Source organism: Homo sapiens, chromosome 13, assembly GCF_000001405.40.
Source record: "Homo sapiens chromosome 13, GRCh38.p14 Primary Assembly".
In the NCBI taxonomy this organism is placed as follows: domain Eukaryota; kingdom Metazoa; phylum Chordata; class Mammalia; order Primates; family Hominidae; genus Homo; species Homo sapiens.
Window position 1 is genome coordinate 46,710,974 of NC_000013.11, and position 19,228 is coordinate 46,730,201.

At 38.3% G+C, this 19,228-nt stretch overlaps 1 protein-coding gene across 5 annotated transcripts in view; it reads left to right on the forward strand.

Moving 5' to 3' along the window:
• The window catches only part of LRCH1 (leucine rich repeats and calponin homology domain containing 1), a 199,872-nt gene that overhangs the window by 157,804 nt on the left and 22,840 nt on the right, over nt 1-19,228 (forward strand). For 2 of the 5 annotated variants that reach the window (XM_017020483.2, NM_001164211.2), the window contains exons 14-18: nt 818-871; nt 1,552-1,624; nt 4,587-4,691; nt 12,248-12,357; nt 17,874-18,011. In XM_017020483.2, coding sequence (XP_016875972.1) covers nt 818-871; nt 1,552-1,624; nt 4,587-4,691; nt 12,248-12,357; nt 17,874-18,011 — 480 coding nt within the window. Of the gene's footprint in view, nt 1-817; nt 872-1,551; nt 1,625-4,586; nt 4,692-12,247; nt 12,358-17,873; nt 18,012-19,228 lie in introns of those variants that run through there. The other 3 variants (NM_001164213.2, NM_015116.3, XM_047430214.1) reach the window with 2 other exon arrangements.

Here is a 19,228-nt window from a genome sequence, read left to right on the forward strand (position 1 = left end):
GTCTCTGTGGACCATCTGGCCACTCTCATGGACTCAGGCACCCCATAAATAATAATAACTTCGAAACCTGTAGCTCATGCCTCAGGTTCCCCTCTGTACCCCAGTATTCAGATTTTATCTCCATGCCCCACAAATTTCTCTTTCTCTACATAGCTAAACTGATACTATCAACTTCTTCTTAAACTGCTCCTGTGTTCTCCGTGGTATTCAGTGATGCTACCATCTACCCAGTCATTCCTGCTGGAAATCGGGATGTCATCTTGACTTTTCTCCATGACCAGTTATAAATCCTGCACATTTTATGACAGAAAAAATTCATAATTTTTTCTCTTAACCAGTAGTTGCCAAAGTAATCTGATGTTGAACTGACAACATGAGATTTGCCCAGTTAATTTGGGGTCCAGACGTGTATTTATTGAATGCTCCCAATGTGATTCTGCATATTTAGGAAGTACTACCTTGAACCATTTCTAAAAATCATAATTAAAATGAGGATGGGAACCAGCAGGCAGCTTGGTCACCTAGCAAGGTAAGCTGACATCCACAGATATTTTGGAGTGAACTCCTTGCTCTGGGAAGTTCTTTATCTTAGTTTGTATAATACTTTAAACGTATTTTTCTATGAATACAGCTGCATGTTTTCAGAACGTATGAGTATGGTCTACTTAGTTACTGAACACACTAACTAATTAATTCAACAGATATTCATTGTGCACCTATGGACCGGGGACATGATGGCAGTAAGAAAGATGAATTTCTTGCCTCAACAGTTTCACAGTCTAATGGAACATACCATGCTTTGTTCTTCTTTTTTAAGGTGCAAAGTGATCTAACATTACAGAGTAACGGGAGCCAGTATTCTCCAAATGAGGTAAGTTTCTTGAAGATTAATGGAAGGTGAGGTGTTTCTTGATGGCTGGATTGGAATATCTTTTACAGAAATATATAATCTAAGACTTGTGATTAATTAATTAATTGAGTCTTTGGGGGAATCCGTCTAACTCTCATTAGCTATCATAGCTTTATCTGGTCCTATTCGTAATTAAAGATTAATTTTTATGAGATATATTTTTAAAAACCGAATGTAGGAACATCTTTACAAGAAAACAGAATGAAGATCACTTAAATAGGAAACATTTAGAATGTCTTGTTCTCCATAAATGATTCAGTGTGTGATTCAGTATTACTGAGTTCAGTATTATCTGTTTCCTCATCAGATGTGCCCTCTTTTGGATATAAATGGATATAGTGTGTGTGTGTGCATGCACCCATGCACACAGCTGTGCAAGAGGAGTGCCAGTGTCACGTAATTGTAAAATGTTCTTAAAATGGACAAAACAAATTGAGTGGGTCACTCTAAAACAAACATTCTGTTGGTTATGCCATTTAACATCTTTACAAAGTGATTTTTTTTGGCCAGGACTTCATCACACAGCAGCGAATGCAAAAAGGGAGTAGTTTTGTTACAATCCTTGAACATAGAAAACCATACATAGTTCTTCTGTTTTCCTTTTATTTTTTTCCTAATTTCCTTTCCTTCCAACACCACAGATTAGAGAGAACTCCCCTGCAGTCTCTCCTACCACAAACAGCACAGCTCCATTTGGCCTGAAGCCTCGATCAGGTAAATGAAAACCTCAGCCCATTCTTACACTAAATAACTCATTGCTTTCTCTTGAGCCTTTTAAGTGTATGCATTATCAATGTGCACATCCTTGTCAGTTCTGCTGAGCCGAAATCCTGGCATCTACAGCTAGGGGAGGCCAGAGTTTGTAGCTTTGTTTTCAGTGAATCAGCTAAGTCCGTGTTATCAGTAGTGGATATTCTATCTTCGTTTGAATCCGAGCAAAGAAAAAACAGGTGGTGGGAGCATGTAAGCGGGGAAGAAATATTCTATTGATTTTTTTTTACCTAAGGAAGATAAAATAGCTTTGGCCCCAGTGGTTCCTGCTGCTCGGCTGAGTTAAGGGGCAGCCTGCCTCTGGAAAAGTGACTCCTTTCTGAGACATCCTCATTTGATTTCTGAGTCTGGTAGGTTCTGTGTGTTTACTCACATAACAGAGTGGTCATTTCAAGGCTTGCATGAGTGGTCAGGAGTTACTTTTTTAAAAAGTCTTTTGAGAAAGCATTCTGCTTATATTACCAATTTTAATTTGTTATTAGTTTATTCACAAAAGTAAATTATAGCAATGTACAAAATAATGGTTGCTTTTGAAAAGAAAGTACTCTGTATAGAAAAATTTGATTCTTCTGATTTCTCCATTTATTTGAAGTTCTGTTGCTAATCTTCCTTCTTTTAGGTCTTTCTTTGTTTTAATATTTTTGACTCTTTGGTATTTAGTCTACACTTACTACTGATGCTTTTAAGCAAGTGCTAATAAAGAATTCAGACGCTTTTAAATAAGAACTGGTAGAGAACTCAGATGTTCTTGAGTTCTCCAGTAAAGCATTTTGACAACAGTAGAGGTTATACATGTGTATATTTTGCAAAAAGGCACCCATAGGAAAAACAAAGATGATTCTTTAATAAAGGAAATGTTTTTCATTCTTGGGGCAGGTTGATTGATGGGTAACAAGTGGCCAGGTGTAATGGTTTCCTGGCAGTTTGAATGGGCCATAGAAGAAAAGCCATTTGAGAAAGTGCTTGAGTGTGACAAGGGTTAGTGAGTGTTTTATGGAGAGCCAAATTTTACATGAAATAAAACTCAAATGGCTGGTCTTCTCATGTTTGGAGCTAAGCAAATGTGATCAGTTCCGGGCTGAGGCCCTTGGCTGGGTTTTCCTTTCCACGGTCTCAGGTGTGTCCTGGGAGGAATGGAGGTGAGTCCAGGCACACCTCATCTGTGCCTTCAGTGACAACCCACCAGGAGACTTATTTTACACGCTGAGGACCTCATGTTGAGCTGCAGACTGTCTCCTAATCCTCACAGTCAGTTTTACACAGTTTAAAAGCATGGCATAATTGAGCAAATCAAAAGTTGAATGGATCTTCAGAGAATAATATTCTTTTGAATGTATAACTTGCAATTGTAGAATTATTTTGGTGACTTTTTTATTCTTTTTATAGAGTCCAAACTCAACTTATTACAGTTAGGGTTTACATTGTACTGGGGCTGTTAAACCATTTCACATTCTTTGTAGCAGTGAAAAATAAATGGAGCTTTTATTTTGAATAGCAGAAAACAAAGTTAATTTCCTTTCCAAGCTTCCAGCCTTTCTATAATGCTGACTAACCAATGTGGAAATTGTTCTTGTTGTTGAAAGCTCTATGGAGTTTGGTTGCTGTAAATAATGCTGTTTACCTTCAGGATCATCAAGTGACATGTGGGAACTTTAAAAACTTGCATTATGTATGGAAATTTATTTCATTTTATTTAATAATTTTAAAATAGTATATATGCTTAAGTGTATTTTTCACATTTTCTGGAAAGTAATATATACAGTAATCTTAACTGGAAAGCATATAGTTTTAAAAGAAACCACTTTTGATCGAGTAGCTTTAGAATGCTTAAAGCCAATTAATTTTTATTTTGAAAGTATGTGGATTTATGTGATTTCTGTGTTATAAATAAAAACAGACTGCTTAAATTAGCAAGTTCAAATAAGAACTTAGATTCTTAAAGTAGGCTGGCAGTTTCTTTCATTTCTTTCTGTGTTTTCCTCCCGAACAAAGACAACTGCACACACCCAAATATTTATATCTAGAACTATATCCATTTATTTTACCGGCCCTGCCTTATGATTGAATAAAAAATAATATAGATATTTCCTAAATATGAAATTGCCATATGGATATTTAGTGCAAAAATAAGAGTTGTTATCATTTCATAAGTGACCAACTCAGAAGTTCTTGAAATTGATTGATCTCTGTTGATTAATTGGATTTGTTGTTAAATAGACTGTACTAGTCTCCAACATTTTTTGTTTTTTGTTTTTTAACTGAGCAATATTGAAAACAGTATTTAGAGGTATGTCCAGGATTGAGAAAAGAATTAGCTAGATTCAGCTATCTATAAAGCATGCCAATAGACCTACAGGTGTCTTTAAAAAGAAATTTGACATTGCTTTGGAGAAAAAAAATCACTAATGGTAAATGATGATTCTATAATAGTTTTATTTCTAAATAATAGATATATTTACGCATATTAAGTTTTATTCTATGTCACCAATTTTTTTGTGTGTGAATCATATTTTGTTAGTTTTTTAGAAAGTCTTTGAGGAACGTATCTGGCAGGTCTTTTGCTTTTTATCTACCTAACCTATGGGTACTCTTTCTTTCCTCTGACCTGATTCATTAGTACTCTAAGTCTGTGGGCTTGCAGAACTGTTAAGATTAACAAATATGAACTGCATGCAAAGTGTATGATTGATGGGTACTAACACTCAGTTTTTATCATTCTTTTTATTCCATGCACCATCTTTCATTCTTCTCCTATATTGTGCATTTGAAATTAAACCCCATATAAATGAAATCCACTCTTCATTTCCATGCAAACCCTATGCCATTTGTGAAATGCTGCTGCCCCTTTGGTTTTTCCTGGTCCTTGTGCAACTGTACGCGGACTGGCTCTCTGGCTCCCCTGCAGACCCAGCCCTCATTCTTCCTCCTATCTCCTTCAACACACTTACACAGGCACAGACATGGGACAGCTCTAGCTACAGTGTTCCATCTGAAGGAGACAGTGACAATGGTAGGTGGCTTTGTACCTATTCTCCAATGTTCTCATTAATAAGCCAATGCGTATACTGAACATTCATCTCTGTGCAGCTGAAGATAGAGTATATTCACCTGCATGCTTGGTATGAGAAATAATGTGTAAGCCTGGAAAGTGAAGTCCAGAAAAGTGCACGTGGATTGTTCTCTAGCAGTTTGTCAAACTCCAGTTTAATTAACTTGACTATTCTGGATTTGGGGAAGGCATTATAATACTTTCTTTTCTCCCCTTTTCTGCTTGGGTTTTTTGGTTTGTTTGCTTGTTTACAAATATTTGGGGTTTGCACATTTGGATTTATCTCCGCTTGTTCCTGCATCTGAACTAAATGGTTTTAGAGTTTGATATTTTACTATTTATGCTTACTGTGTGAGATTTCTAAGGTAATTAAAATGTACCATGGCTGATCCTAGAGTATTGCATTGAAAATAATGTTAACGTGGAGAAATTTCTGAAAATGAAGATAAATCATTTGCCTTCTTTTTTCCAAATTATTGGCATATTTTGACTTTTGATGCCTTCTTGAGTATAGGTTCATCTTTTTGACATTCAAGGATAGTAACTTGGCCTGAGAATCAAATGTGTAAATAAAAAATCGAGGACACTCAGCTAGAGTTCATGTGGGTATCTTTTAATTTTGAATCTTATATAGCCTAAGAGATTACAATAAAACATAATTATTTAGATCTGCACACCACCTATATCGTAATCTCCATTCTAGTCTAATTTCATCCTAGTCTCTGAAATATTCAAATTTTAAACATTTTACTTCAGAATACAAAGTGATTGCAGTCGAGTTAAGTGAAACAGAGAATGTGATTTATAGGGAAGAGTAGTGAGGTACAGGGTATAGCCACAATGCAAACACAATGGAAAGATACGTTTTCTGATAATATTTATCTTTTCATCTAAGTATGTTACATGTAATACCTGGAAAATATATGTTTAAGACACTTGCTGTGATTTCTGGTTAAAATTCAACCAAAAATGCTTCTACAATTTCCTTATGGAGAAAGACAATGTATACTTTGGCAGAGTAGTTATAAAAAGAATTTTTAATATTTCATAGATTTCTAAATTTTTAAACGGAAAATAAATAGGATTAAAAAACAACAGTTATTAAACAAATGGCCCTCCTTATACCATCCAGTTGTAAATTTTGGAAGTTGAAGAGGGCTAAATGGAAACTTTCTTGATAAACATTTTCTTTACTTAAGTTTTTTTTTTTCTAATGGAGGGGAGGCATTTTTGTTTTTCAGAAAGTATAGCTATTTATGGGCCTAATGTTGTTTAAAGGAAATAAAGCCTAGAATGAAAGATTTATGTGTGGTTTGGTATTTCCTTAGGAATGATATCTGAAACCAAAGGCCTTTTTTTTTTTAAAACTGGGAAACAATTAGTCTTCTTATGTAGCAGTAGAATTACTATCTTTATAGACGAACAGACTAAAACCAGAAAGGTGAGGTGAGCTGCCTGGGTCACACTGTGGGGTTGAGGTGGAGGTGAAGCTGCACCAGGGTTCCTAACTCTGGAATCATCTCTGCCGCATCTACATTCAGGCTGCTTTCATTTGATTAAAAATCCTTAAATTTCCACAGAAAATAATCATTGTGGAAATCTTTCTAAAAATAAAATAACCTTGCAATAGTTATTTTTTCTATGAGTAAAAATTCCAAGAATTCACATGCAGCTGTTATGCTGTACCACAATAATAATAAAGCCATCGTTTTCAATACTCACGGTTCAGTCGATCATGTCAGATGTTTGGAGGTTGTCATTTTTTCCTATTTGCAATTTGTCTCTACTATGCCCTGGGCAACAGAAAAATTTCTGTACCGAAATAGTCTTTACAAATATTTGTTTAGGTTCCCAGATCTGACTTTTATGTTTATCTTCATTCTCTTTGTTCTTAACTTTGACCTGTGATTGGAATACATTTTCTAATGTAATGCTATCTTTGTAAATAACCTTTATAAATAAACATTATCTTATTACCAGCTCAACCTAACATAATGTAACTTGACTTTTATTTATACATTTAGTTATTATTTTTGGTAAGGTTGTCCTTTTTTTACCTTGCTCACTGTCTTGCTTTATATAAAATTATCCTTTTTTTAAAATTCTTTCAAATATCTTATTCCCATTCTATCTCATTTTAAATTCCCCATTTCTCTAAAACTTATTCTTCAAACAGATTTTTTAAAATTGGCAACCTGGGTAGAAGGTCCTTGGGAGTTTGAGTTCTCAAAGTCCCCAAAGTTCTGCCCCATAAGGTGGATGAAGGAGGATGTGGACGTTTGTCTGTAGGTTTCTCTGGGCCCACCCCTGGAGCTGGATGGGACAGCTTTAACCTCCGTTTTTAACCTGATAGTTTAACTTCTGCTTTTCCCCCTGCTCTTGTGTCCTCTTACTGAATCTTTCCTCTTCCCTTCACTTTGAAGTTAAAAACCATTTCTATCTTCTTTGGGGTCATTTTTGCTCTTTCATTTGCAGTGAATTTGTAGGTGCTAATTTATACTTATTGAAAATTAATCTTTAAGTTATCACCAGAGAATGGATGAATGGACCAGTTTACATTAGTCTCTGAAATAACCATGTATCTTGTACCAGTTTACAGATATTTTCCTTAATTTTTTACAGTAATCTTGCACTATAGGTATTATTTTTCCCATTAGAGAAATGAAGAAACTGAGGATATAAGAGGCTTTTTAGTGGCTCTTAACTCTGGTTTTATATTAGAATCACCTGGGCGTTTTGTAAAACTATAGTCACTTAGGCCCCATAGTCAGAAATGCTAATTTATTTGGTGTAGCATTGAGTCTAAGCACTGGTCATTTGTTTTACTTCTTTTTATGGGATGTTATGTGGTGTTCAAGTAAGGTTGACAGTCACTGGGTTAAGTAAATTGTCTAAGACCATAGAGAAGAAATGTGAGCATTTTGAGGACACCGAATGTGTCCAGTTCAATTTTAGGCACCAGAAGGGAATGAATGAATCAGCTAGTGAGAGTTCTGATTCACAGTAGCCTGGATCTAAAGCTCGTGATATTTTTTCAAAGCCAAGATACTGCTGCCTTTGAGTTTGTATATCTTAAACATCATGTCCAGTTCAGGTTCTTAACTTCCAAGGAGAAGTTGAGAGCTACATTTTAAAACTTCATGTTTCCACAGAGAAGAAATCTCCTCTCATTCAGTTAAATTTAGGTATAAATATTTTTCATATGAAGATGCATTTCATGCAATAATTAAATGAGAAAGTGCATTTGGGCAATTTTTAGAGCAAAGGGCTTTCTTTCTTTGCTTGACTCAAAGATGTTCTCACAACAAGTACATAAATGGTTTCTTGTACACATCCTTAAATATCTGCTGAGTGCCTATTATGTGCTACACATGATGCTCATTACTATGGATGCAGCTCTGAAAGAGACAGCCAAAATCTCTTTGCTTTCATATAACATTTATTTCAGAGTCTAATGCATTCACACCTAGAAACTAAGTTTAGGAGATTATTCATAAGAGGAAAAACTCAGGCGACTGATCATCAGAATAGAATAATCTTTGCAATGACGTTCTCCAAACAGACTGAGCTTTAAGTGAGGGAGTGTTTGAAACGTTTGTTTCATTTACTCGTTCAACAAACTCATTCTGCCCCACTCACTGCTTTGTGGGGCAGGAATAGAGGGTACAAGTTGGAAACAGACATAAACATTTACAGATCCATAATGGAGCGAAATATCACTCTACTGTAAGATAGAAAGTGGTGAGTGCCATGGGAGAGACACAGATAAAAGAATTTTGTATGCTCACAGAAGACAGAGATTACTCCCAGCTCAGAGATGAGGATGGGGTAAAGAGTGAAAGAAAAGGCAGAAAATGATGGAAAGATCAGTGGAATTTGACCTATATCTGCAAGTATGAATTTGATATTCTACGTAAGCATTTCATTATACCCTGCAGGGTCCATGCTTATCTCTTCTGCTAAGTAAATTGCGTATATGTGCAAATCTTTTTCATTCTTTAAATGTTATTTATGCTGGGTGCAGTAGCTCACGCCTGAATTCCCAGGACTTTGGGAGGCTGAGGCAGGTGGATCGCTTGAGGTCAGGAGTTCAAGACCAGCCTGGTCAACATGGTGAAACCCTGTCTCTACTAAAAATACAAAATTTAGCCAGGCGTGGTGGCAGGCACCTGTAATCCCAGCTATCTGGGGGGCTTAGGCAGGAGAATCTCTTGAACCTGGGAGGCGGAGTTTGCAGTGAGCCGAGATCGTGCCACTGCACTCCAGCCTGGGCGACAGACTGAGACTCCATCTCAAAACAAAATAAAAATAAATGTTATTTATACAACATACAGTAATTAAACTATAGGCTTAATTTAAGCAGAACTTATTTTTTTTCCTTCATCTTAAATTGCCTACCTTGGCCAGGCACGGTGGCTCACGCCTGTAATCCCAGCACTTTGGGAGTCTGAGGCAGGTAGATCACTTGAGTCCAGAAGTTCCAGACCAGCCTGGGCAATATGGCGAAACCCCACCTCTACTAAAAATATAAAACTTAGCCAGGCATGGTGGTGCAGGCCTGTGGTCCCAGCTACTCAGGAGGCTGAGATGGGAGAATCGCGTGAGCCCAGGTGGTTGAGGTTGCAGCGAGCCGAGATCGCACCATTGCACTCCAGCCTGGGCAACAGAGTGAGACTGTGTCTCTCCACCCGCCCCCCAAAACCAATCACCGCCTCTTCACCTCTTTCAACACACTCATAACACACACTCTGCTCTCTCACCCATCTTTTTTCTTATGTACACTTCAACAGTCACAGGAGCATTTGACTTGAAAAATACATGCTCACAGTGGGGGCTGCTTCTTAATATTGTCTCATGGCCTCAAGTTAAATTTTATTCCTCTGGATTAAGTAAGGGAGCTCTTGAAATTTAGTGATATGAAATTAAGGAAAAGCAGAATAATTCTTTTGTAGATCAATTTCCTGAAGCCTGGACCCAGACCGTTCACTGGATTTATTATTTAAATAGGAATTAAAAGAAAAGAAAAAACTGTAGGTAATTTAATCAGAGGTACTTTAATGGTCCCGGTGAAGTTATTCTGTTGTAACAAACCCAGCAAAATAAGCAAGCACTTTTGTACTTGGTAGATTTATTATGAGCCTAAAGAGATTGCCTTAAGTTCTCTTATATGTCATAGTAATGAATACATTCAGAAAACTAATAGTGATATAGTCATTATTTCTGATCATTTTATGTATTTCTGATAATTTTAAGTGTTCATTTTAAAAAATACAGTTCAATTGGTTTTTAAAACACTTTTGGTTGCCTAACATTCATAGAGCAAATGCCCACACATGCATGTTATATTTTTAAGATACAAAGGAATGCAAAATTAAAAAATGATGCCAGGAAAGTAAAACCCAGACACCATTTCGTTATCCTGATATCTCACATAGGGCTCTAATAAGGCAATGTGGTGTTGAACAAAAGCTCATGGTTCATTTAACTTCCTGATAGTTTCATATTCAGATTGAAATCTGCCAATAAAAACATATTGAAAATATTATTAGATAAGATTACCCCCAGAAAAAAGGCAAAGGAAAGTAACAGCTCCAAAGAAAACATTCGATGTGTTTAAACGGTGTTGAGGCGCCCCTTGCTGGCATATGTGTGTATTATCCAACTCTATCTGCATTTCTTGACCTTTTTTTGGTAAATTTGGTGGTGCAAATTAGTTCTATATTTTATATTTTTATATATGTCTCTTTTTTGGTGTTGCTTGAAATGGTGTAAAATGTGATTCATTCTCCAGTTTCTTCCATGCGTCTTAATTTGTCAGAGTTTTCCTCAGTTCCCTTTTCTCTGTGAACTTTTCATCTTTCCCTGCCTGGTCACTCTGTCCTTTTACTGACCTTGGCTTTACTTTTTAAACAATTGGTTCTACGTCCTGTGAGGTTTGGGTTTTGTGGGACTTGGTGACAGCCCTCCTGTGACTGCCTTTGGTGTTCTTTGCCTGTGACTTCCCTCAGTGGCTTCCAGCAGAGGCCCCAGGCCACAAGCTGACTCCTCTCTGAGATTCCAGAAGGCGACAGGCCTTGCGTACCTTAAATCATCCTCTTTCTCCATTAACTCTCAAGTCGACGATTTAAGATATGTCAATTTTCTCAACTTCCATAGAGCATCAGAATGTGAATTCAAGAATCTTAGAACTAATTTAGAAAGAAAATACTGAGATGTGAGAAGGAGAATGCATGTTCAAAGGCACAAATTGAAATTAAAATATTGTAGTTAGGCGAGCACAGGACTTTTGATTACACCGAGCGGACTCAAGTCTTTGTATCCAAAGTATTCTATTTGTAAATCATATTTAATTTCTAGAAATCTGAAATATTGAAATAGCTTCTAAAGAGGTCCATAGGAAATGTATGTCAGGGTAGAATAAAAATTACACATTCTTTCTTATTCAGCATTGTTTAAATCATCATGATTGAAACTTCTGTAACTTCAGTACACCATGCAGCCTTCTATGTGGTATGGATTTCTAACATTGGAGTTCTCTGCCCAAAATTTTCTGAGGGACTTTCCCTCCCTACCTCAATCTGAAAGTCTGTGGGATGGGGGAGCCAAGGCTCTGAACAGCTCTTTCATCCATCTTATGTGCAAGGATAAAAATCTCTAGGAAGAAAAAAAAAATCAAGTTTAAGTCTGCCCTGGGCTTTGTATCATTAAAAAGTTAATTAAAACTCTTGCTGTAGTCATTCTCCGATGCATAGAACATTATTTACCTTCTTGATTGGTGTCTAAAAGGTGTTTTCCTTCATAGGGAAGGGCATGTGTTTTCTCAGCTCATTTCAGAGGATGCCCCGCTGTTAGTTACTATTCTTGGAAGTCGTAACTTCAAGAACCTGAAGCCAGCCATGAGCCCTTCAGCTACTTCCAATCTTGCCAGCCTTCCTAAAAGGTGTCCTTGCTCATCTCCAAAGGGCTAACTTTTTAGATAGTCTGCCAGTGACAGTCTAGAAGGCAGAATGTTTCCACCACACCCTCAAATATGTAATCATCACTTAGTTCTTAACTCAGGCTTACAAAAAACTTTATGCCAACAAAAACATTAACTTGTGCTTATTTTTAATACATACAACAATTCTAGAGCCTTATTTGAAATAAATTATCTGAATTTAATGAAAGGGTTGAGTGTAAATAAAAACTTAGAATGAAGACAGTGGGAAGATGAGTGAAGTAGGACATCTGTCAGGCAAGTGGCTTGGAATGGTCCCAGTGACCCAGACCTTGCCCTGGGTTCAGTTTATTATCACTGAAAAATACAGCTTGTTAGTCCACACAAACTAGTACAATTTAAAATATTGTCTCTTTTAAAATACTTGAGCCAGGCTTTTCTTGTGGATTTGGAATTTCTTTGTTTCTTTGAGTGGTAAATGAATTATTTTGGACAAATTAAAATACTGTTTGATTTTAATATGAATAGCCCTATGTGACAAGGCACTATATAAAGGCTTTTTTTCCCCTTTGTATTGTAGTGTTTCTAAGACCTCAGAGAAATTTGGAATCTATAGACCCGCAGTTTACAATCCGGAGGAAAATGGAGCAGATGAGAGAAGAGAAAGAGCTGGTGGAACAACTTCGTGAGGTACCCAAGAAATATTATGTAACTAAAGGAGAATTTAAGCAACATTCTACATTTTTGAGAAACAGACTTTGAAACATTGCAAGCAGTCCTAATTTCAAATCTAGCCAGGTCACTTAGTGACTGCTGGATGTTGGGCAAGCCACTTAACAACCCTGAGTCTGTTTCTTTGTATACTAAAAAAATGTTTTGGCCAGGCATAGTTTCTCATGCCTGTAATCGCAGAACTTTAGGAGGTAGAGGCAGGCTGATCACTTAAGTCCAGGAGTTTGAGACCAGTATGGCCAACATGGTGAGCCCTGTCTCTACTAAAAATACAAAAATTAGCTGGGCGTGGTGGCGTATGCCTGTAATCCCAGCTACTCGGGAGGCTGAGGTGGGAGGATCAGTTGAGCCCAGGAATGCGAGGCTGCAGTGATTTATGATTGTACCACTTCACTTCAGCCTGGGTGACAACAGTGAGAACTTGTCTCTTTAAAAAAAAAAAATGGTTCCAATTGACCTTAGTGGAGTTTTGTGAGGAATATATGAGATAGTAGTAAATAAAAAATAATATATACATATAAATGCTGGCACTATTTCAATTTCAATTCAGGTATAGTTTAATGCCCTGTCATTTATTTACTTAATAATATTAAATTAATTTTCATTTTTTATTTTTATTTATTTATGTGTTTTTGAGACAAAGTCTCACTCTGTCACCCAGGCTGGAGTGCAGTCGCATGATCTCGGCTCACTGCAGCCTGTGCCTTCTGGGCTAAAGTGATCCTCCCACCTCAGCCTCCTGAGTAATTGAGATTACAGGTGTGCACCACCACACTCAGCTAATTTTTTGTATTTTTACTAGAAAAACGTTGGGATTACAGGTATGAGCCACCGCACCCAGCTGAATTTTTAATTTTTAAGAGACTCTCTCTGTTGCCCAGACTAGAGTGCAATGGTATGATCATAGCTGACTGCAGCCTTGAACTTTTGGGCTGAAGTGATCCTCTGGCCTCAGCCTCCCAAGTAGGTAGGCATAAATTATCACTACATGCCACTGTGCCTGGCAATATTACATTAATTTAACAATGTTTATAGTTATCCTCACTTTGTACCCCAAACCGACCAGAGATTTTAAATCAATTATCTAATAGGCAAACCATTTGAGTTTCTACCAAAGAGGAAGTCTTGTGCTGGGTGTCATTGAAGCTTAAACTTGGAGCTGGCAGGGACCATGGCTGTCTTATTTCTTGTCGTATTTCTTAGTTCCCAATGGGCACTCTGTAGGTATTTGTCTACCTGCATGGTCTTTTTGTCAGGTTAGGAAGATCATACATAAATGTATGGAAGGTTAATTAACAGTATAGGAATCAATCACCAAGGAAGAAAACATTGGTATTAGCTACTAAAGACAGCACGTTATGAATTGCTGCATGAGTTTTTAATGTTCAGAAAGAAGTGTCATAACTGTGAACTAAAAGAGTCTAAGAAAGCTTCTTGACTAATAACAGAACAACCATTCAACCCTGTAATCCCATTACTGGGTATATACCCAGAGAAAAATAAATTGTTCTACCAAAAAGAAACCTGCACTCATATGTCTATCACAGCACTATTCACAGAAACAAAGACTTGGGATCAACCCAGGCTCGCATCAACAATGGATTGGATAAAGAAAATGTGGTACATAAACACCATGGAATACTACACAGCCATAAAAAAGAATGAAATCATGTCCTTTGCAGCAACATGGATGCTACTGGAGGCCACTATCCTAAGCAAATTAATACAGAAATGGAAAACCAAATACCACGTTCTCACTTATAAGGGAAAGTGAAACACTGGGTATACACGGACACAAAGATGGAAACAATAAACTCTGGGAATTCCAAAAGGGGAGAGATAGGGGGTGAGGGTTGAAAAACTACCTATTGGGTACTATGTTCACTGCTTAGGTGACAGGATCATTAGAAGCCTAAACCTCAGTATCACACAACATACCCATGTAACAAACCTGTACATGTACCCCTGAATCTAAAATAAATTTTTTCAATAAAGAAAGAAAGGTTCTTGGAGGAGATAGATTCGATGTTAAATCTTCTTTCATCAGCACATGTGTATTGACTGTCACTCTCTACCAGGCTGTATTCTAGGTAATGGATGTAGGAGAGAACAAAAAGGTCTCTGCTGTTCTGAAGCTTATAGTCTATTGGGGAGAGATAGTAAATAAGACGGAAACAAATAAATACACAGTTTCAGAGAGCAATGAGTTCTACAAATGAGCAGTGAGCCCTATAAACAAAATTTAGATTAAATTAAATTAGGATAGGTCAGCCTCTTTGTTATAGCAGATGATACTTTTTATATGGTTTAGCAAAGAGTCAGGAGGAAGTAATTTTAAAAAGAAAACAAAAAAACCTCTTACCACCACTTTAAGCCACTGTGGTGATTGAGCAAACACAAAGGGAAAGTCAAACCTCTGTCATTTGCCTGGACTATCTGGATGTGATGTAAACTGGGAAGGTGAACTTTATGAAATCTATGCAACTAAGATCAGAAGCTGAGCTATGCCCCTCAAGGAGTGATATCTTACAATTTTATCTTAAACATGGGTCATATTGATCATTTATGTCTTAATTTAGTGATATAAAATTAGAGCCTGAAAGAGTACCTAAAAACAATTGTCCACACACAGGACAGTTCTGAAAGAAATTTATATAACACTATTATATGCAGTGTTTTTCAAGTTTTCATTTATTAAAATCACCAAATTAAGTCATCCTTTCATACGCTGTGATTCAGTTAAAAGGGGCTTTTGTTGCAGAAGCTCTAGTTAAGGTTTGAAAATCGATTTCTCTACTTCTGCTTCCAAGAGGATGGAGTAGGCATACTTTGCCCTATTCTTCCCACTAAGTACACCTAAAATCCCTAGACATACATAAAACAAATGTAAGAACATTCTGGAAGGTAAAGAGAAGAAGACGGACTGATTAGGGTCCTTGAGACTTGAGGGGCGCCATAGTGATGAGCTCCAGGGGACTTTCTTTTTGCCTCATGTATCCAGACTTGGAGCCGAAGTCGCTGGGAACCCAGAAACAGTAATCGGCACAGACTTTAGAAAAACAACAATAAAAGCTGACTTTCTCTAACCAAATAACCAGGAAAGGGACAGCCCAGCAAGACACAAAAGTTTTAGACCATAAATGTGCTACTGCAGCTGAACACCACAGGAAACACTGTGGTCCCCCCTCACCCACACCAGCAAGGGCTGAGTCAAGTGAGACTTCTCCCCTTGCTGGGGTGGTGTCAGAGAAGACCAAGCCAGGAGCCAGAAATTTCATCCCCACTGGTCAGTAAGGAAGCTCGTCTGCTCCCAGAGTTTCAGTGGAGACCACGTGGGAATTCTGGATTCTCACCCCCACTCAGCAGTAAGGAGGCACCTACCCCTCCCCCACTCCCTGGCCAGTTGACACCCAGTAGAAAACCCAGATGCCTGCATTCACCTGGCGGTAACAAGATGGTGGCAGCCACCTTCCCCTGCTAGAGCAGTGTCAAAAAAAAAAAAAAAAAAAAAAAGGCAACTAAAACAGAGATTTAAATAGGATCCAGAGTCTCATAACATAATTCAAAAATGTCCAGGTTTCCACTGCAAATCCTTCATCATTCCAAGGACGAGGAAGATCCCAAACTGTAGGCAAAAAAGACAATCTGCAGATGACATCACTGATATAGCAGAGATGTTAGAATTATTTGACAGATATTTTTAAACCAGCCATGATGAAAATGCTTCGGTGAACAACGATGTACATGGTCGAAGGAAAGGAAAAGAATACCCCAGCAGAGAACTAGAAAATTTTGGCAAAGAAATAGAAGACACGAAGAAAAACCAAATGGAAATTGGGAGCTGAAAAATACGTTATTCATAACAAAAAGCCCAGTGGATGGGCTCCACAGCAGAATGGAGATGATAAAGGAAAGAACTGGAATGAAACTAGAAGAGAGAACAATAGAAATCATCTAATCTGAACAACAGAGAGAAAACAGATTGAAAAATCAGTGGACACAGAGCCTCGGGACCTGTGGGAGTGTAACAAATGATCCAACATTCGTGTCTTGGGAGGCCCAGAAGGAAAGGAGAATGGGAGCAAGGCAGAAGAGGAACTTGGGGGTGGGAAGGAAGGGGATGTCTCTATAATTTTTTTTCTTTTTTTGAGACGGAGTCTCGCTTTATCATCCAGGCTGGAGAGCAGTGGCGCAATCTCGGCTCACTGAAACCTCTGCCTCCTGAGTTCAAGTGATTCTCCTGCCTCAGCCTCCTGAGTAGCTGGGAGGGCGTGTCAATAAAAGGTCAACATGGGGGATCCTTGTGCTGGTGGGAATGTTGTGCATCTTGACTTTGTCAATGTCAATATCCTGGTTGTTTTGAAAGTTGTTACCATTGAAGGAAATTGGGCAAAGGGTACGTGGAACCTCTGTGTATTAGTTCTTACAATTGCATATGAATCTAGAATTATCTCAAAAATCAAAAGTTTAATTTTTAAAAGAAGGACAAAGATTGATTTCTCAGCTAAAAATAGTCTAAGAGAAAAACATTTCTTTCTTTCTTTCTTTCTTTTTTTTTTTTTGAGATGGGATCTCACTCTGTCAACCAGGTTGGAGTGCAATGGCATGATCTCAACCCACTGCAACCTCCATCTCCTGAGTTCAAGACATCCTCCCACCTCAGTCCCCCAAGTAGCTGGGACCGCAGGTACACATCACCACGCCCAGCTAATTTTTTGTATTTTTGGTAGAGACAGGGTTTCACCATGCTGCCCAGGCTGGTCTCAAACTCCTGAGCTCAGGCATCTCCCCACCTCGGCCTCTCAAAGTGTTGGGGTTACAGGTGTGAGCCACCACTCCTGGCCTAAGAGGAAAGCATTTCCTTTTTTTTTCTTTTTCTGTCACCCAGGCTGGAGTGCAGTAGCACTACCTCATCTCACTGCAACCTCCGCCTCCTGGGTTCAAGTGATTCTCCTGCCTCAGCTTCCCAAGTAGCTGGGATTACAGGCACCTGCCACCGTGCCTGGGAAATTTTTGTATTTTTAGTAGAGACAGGGTTTCACCATGTTGGCCAGGCTGGCCTTGAACTCCTGACCTCAGGTGAGCCACCCACCTCGGCCTCCCAAAGTGCTGGGATTACAGGCGTGAGCCACTGTGCCCGACCAGAGAAAAGCATTTCTTAATCCCTCTTCTGCCCCATGCAGACTGCCTGAACCAGTCAGATTTGGTTTTTATTTATCACGCTCAAAGAGTGATTCCATTATTCCATTCATTCTATTAAATAAAAATTTTACACTCACCTAAATTTGTTTTTATAAAGAGAGATTTTGATACTGTTTGGAAAGAGTTAAATAATGTCAGTGTTTTCTAGGCATTGTTATCCTTATTTCCTATGATGAAATTAGTGCCTCAGTTCATAAATACCCATAAATGTATTTTACTCACAGTTACCTCAGTGTTCATATTAACTGGCTTCCTTCTGATTTCCCCAACAGAGCATTGAGATGAGATTGAAGGTCAGTCTACACGAAGACCTGGGGGCAGCCCTCATGGATGGTGTCGTCCTCTGCCATCTGGTCAACCACATCCGCCCACGGTCGGTTGCAAGCATCCATGTCCCATCACCAGCGGTTGTAAGTAACACCAAAGGGAAACTAACTGACATAAAACAGACCTTTAGGGGGCACTGTTGTTGGTTTAGGATGTCAATGGTGTCAGTAGGAGCTTGCTCAAATCTTTTCCATTGGGCCCCAAACCATTATAAGGCAGAAAAGGAATGAAAGAATGGCCTTGAATGAAGCAACATTTTCCCGGTAAAATGAGAGACTATTTTAAAATAAATATATAAATGACAGAAACATAATTTTATTTCAATATCAAGCAGATCACTTTAAATAACTTACTGGGCGGGCACGGTGGCTCACACCTGTAAACCCAGCACTTTGGGAGGCCAAGGTGGGTGGATCACTTGCGCTCAGGAGTTGTATTTTTTGTAGAGACGGGGTTCTAAAATAGAAAACTACACAATACAAAAATATGAAAAATACAAAATTTAGCTGGCTATGGTGGCACGCACCTGTGGTCCCAGCAACTCAGGAGCTGAGGTGGGAGGATTGCTTGAGCCCAGGAGTTCAAGGCTGTAGTGAGCCATGATTGTGCCACTGCACTCCAGCCTGGAGACAGAGTGAGACCCTGTCTCAAAAAAAAAAAAAAAAAAGAAAAAGAAAAAAGAAATTACTGATTGACTGATGATCAAGGTGCTAACTTTAAGACTATAGGAACATAAAAATTTCTTTTTCCCAAGAGTTATTTAAACAGTGACAAGTCTTTCAGAAAGCTGCTTTTGGTTGGTAACTTCCCTTCTAAATTGAATCTTTTTCCTCTATTCATCATGGAGGATTTTAGGGATAGCCCTGAAAAGATGTGAGTTCTATGAAAAATACTATGAATAACCTGTCAAGGGGTTGGTTAGCAGTCATGACTTCAACAATTGCTTGATCAGTCACTGCACTCAAGGACTCATTGGTGATGCTGGGGACGTAGTGGGGAGGAGAACATGAATGAGACTCCTTAATGCGCCCCCAGATCCTCATCTCTGCTGTAGAGGAGATAGAGCCTGCACTCAGGGCTCTCTTCCTAGGTATCACAGCATGTTGTGAACTAGAAGAGAGCCAAAGAGTCAGTTTTATGGTTGTTCAGATGAAAGTGGAGGAATCACAGATAAACTTGTCCTTGAAACCTACACAGGATTTATACAAATAGAGAAAAAAGTATCACTGCTCACCCTTTTTGCTGTTTGTTAGGAGAGGCAGAAGAATTTAGGGGTTAAGAATGTAAGGTTTGGATTAAA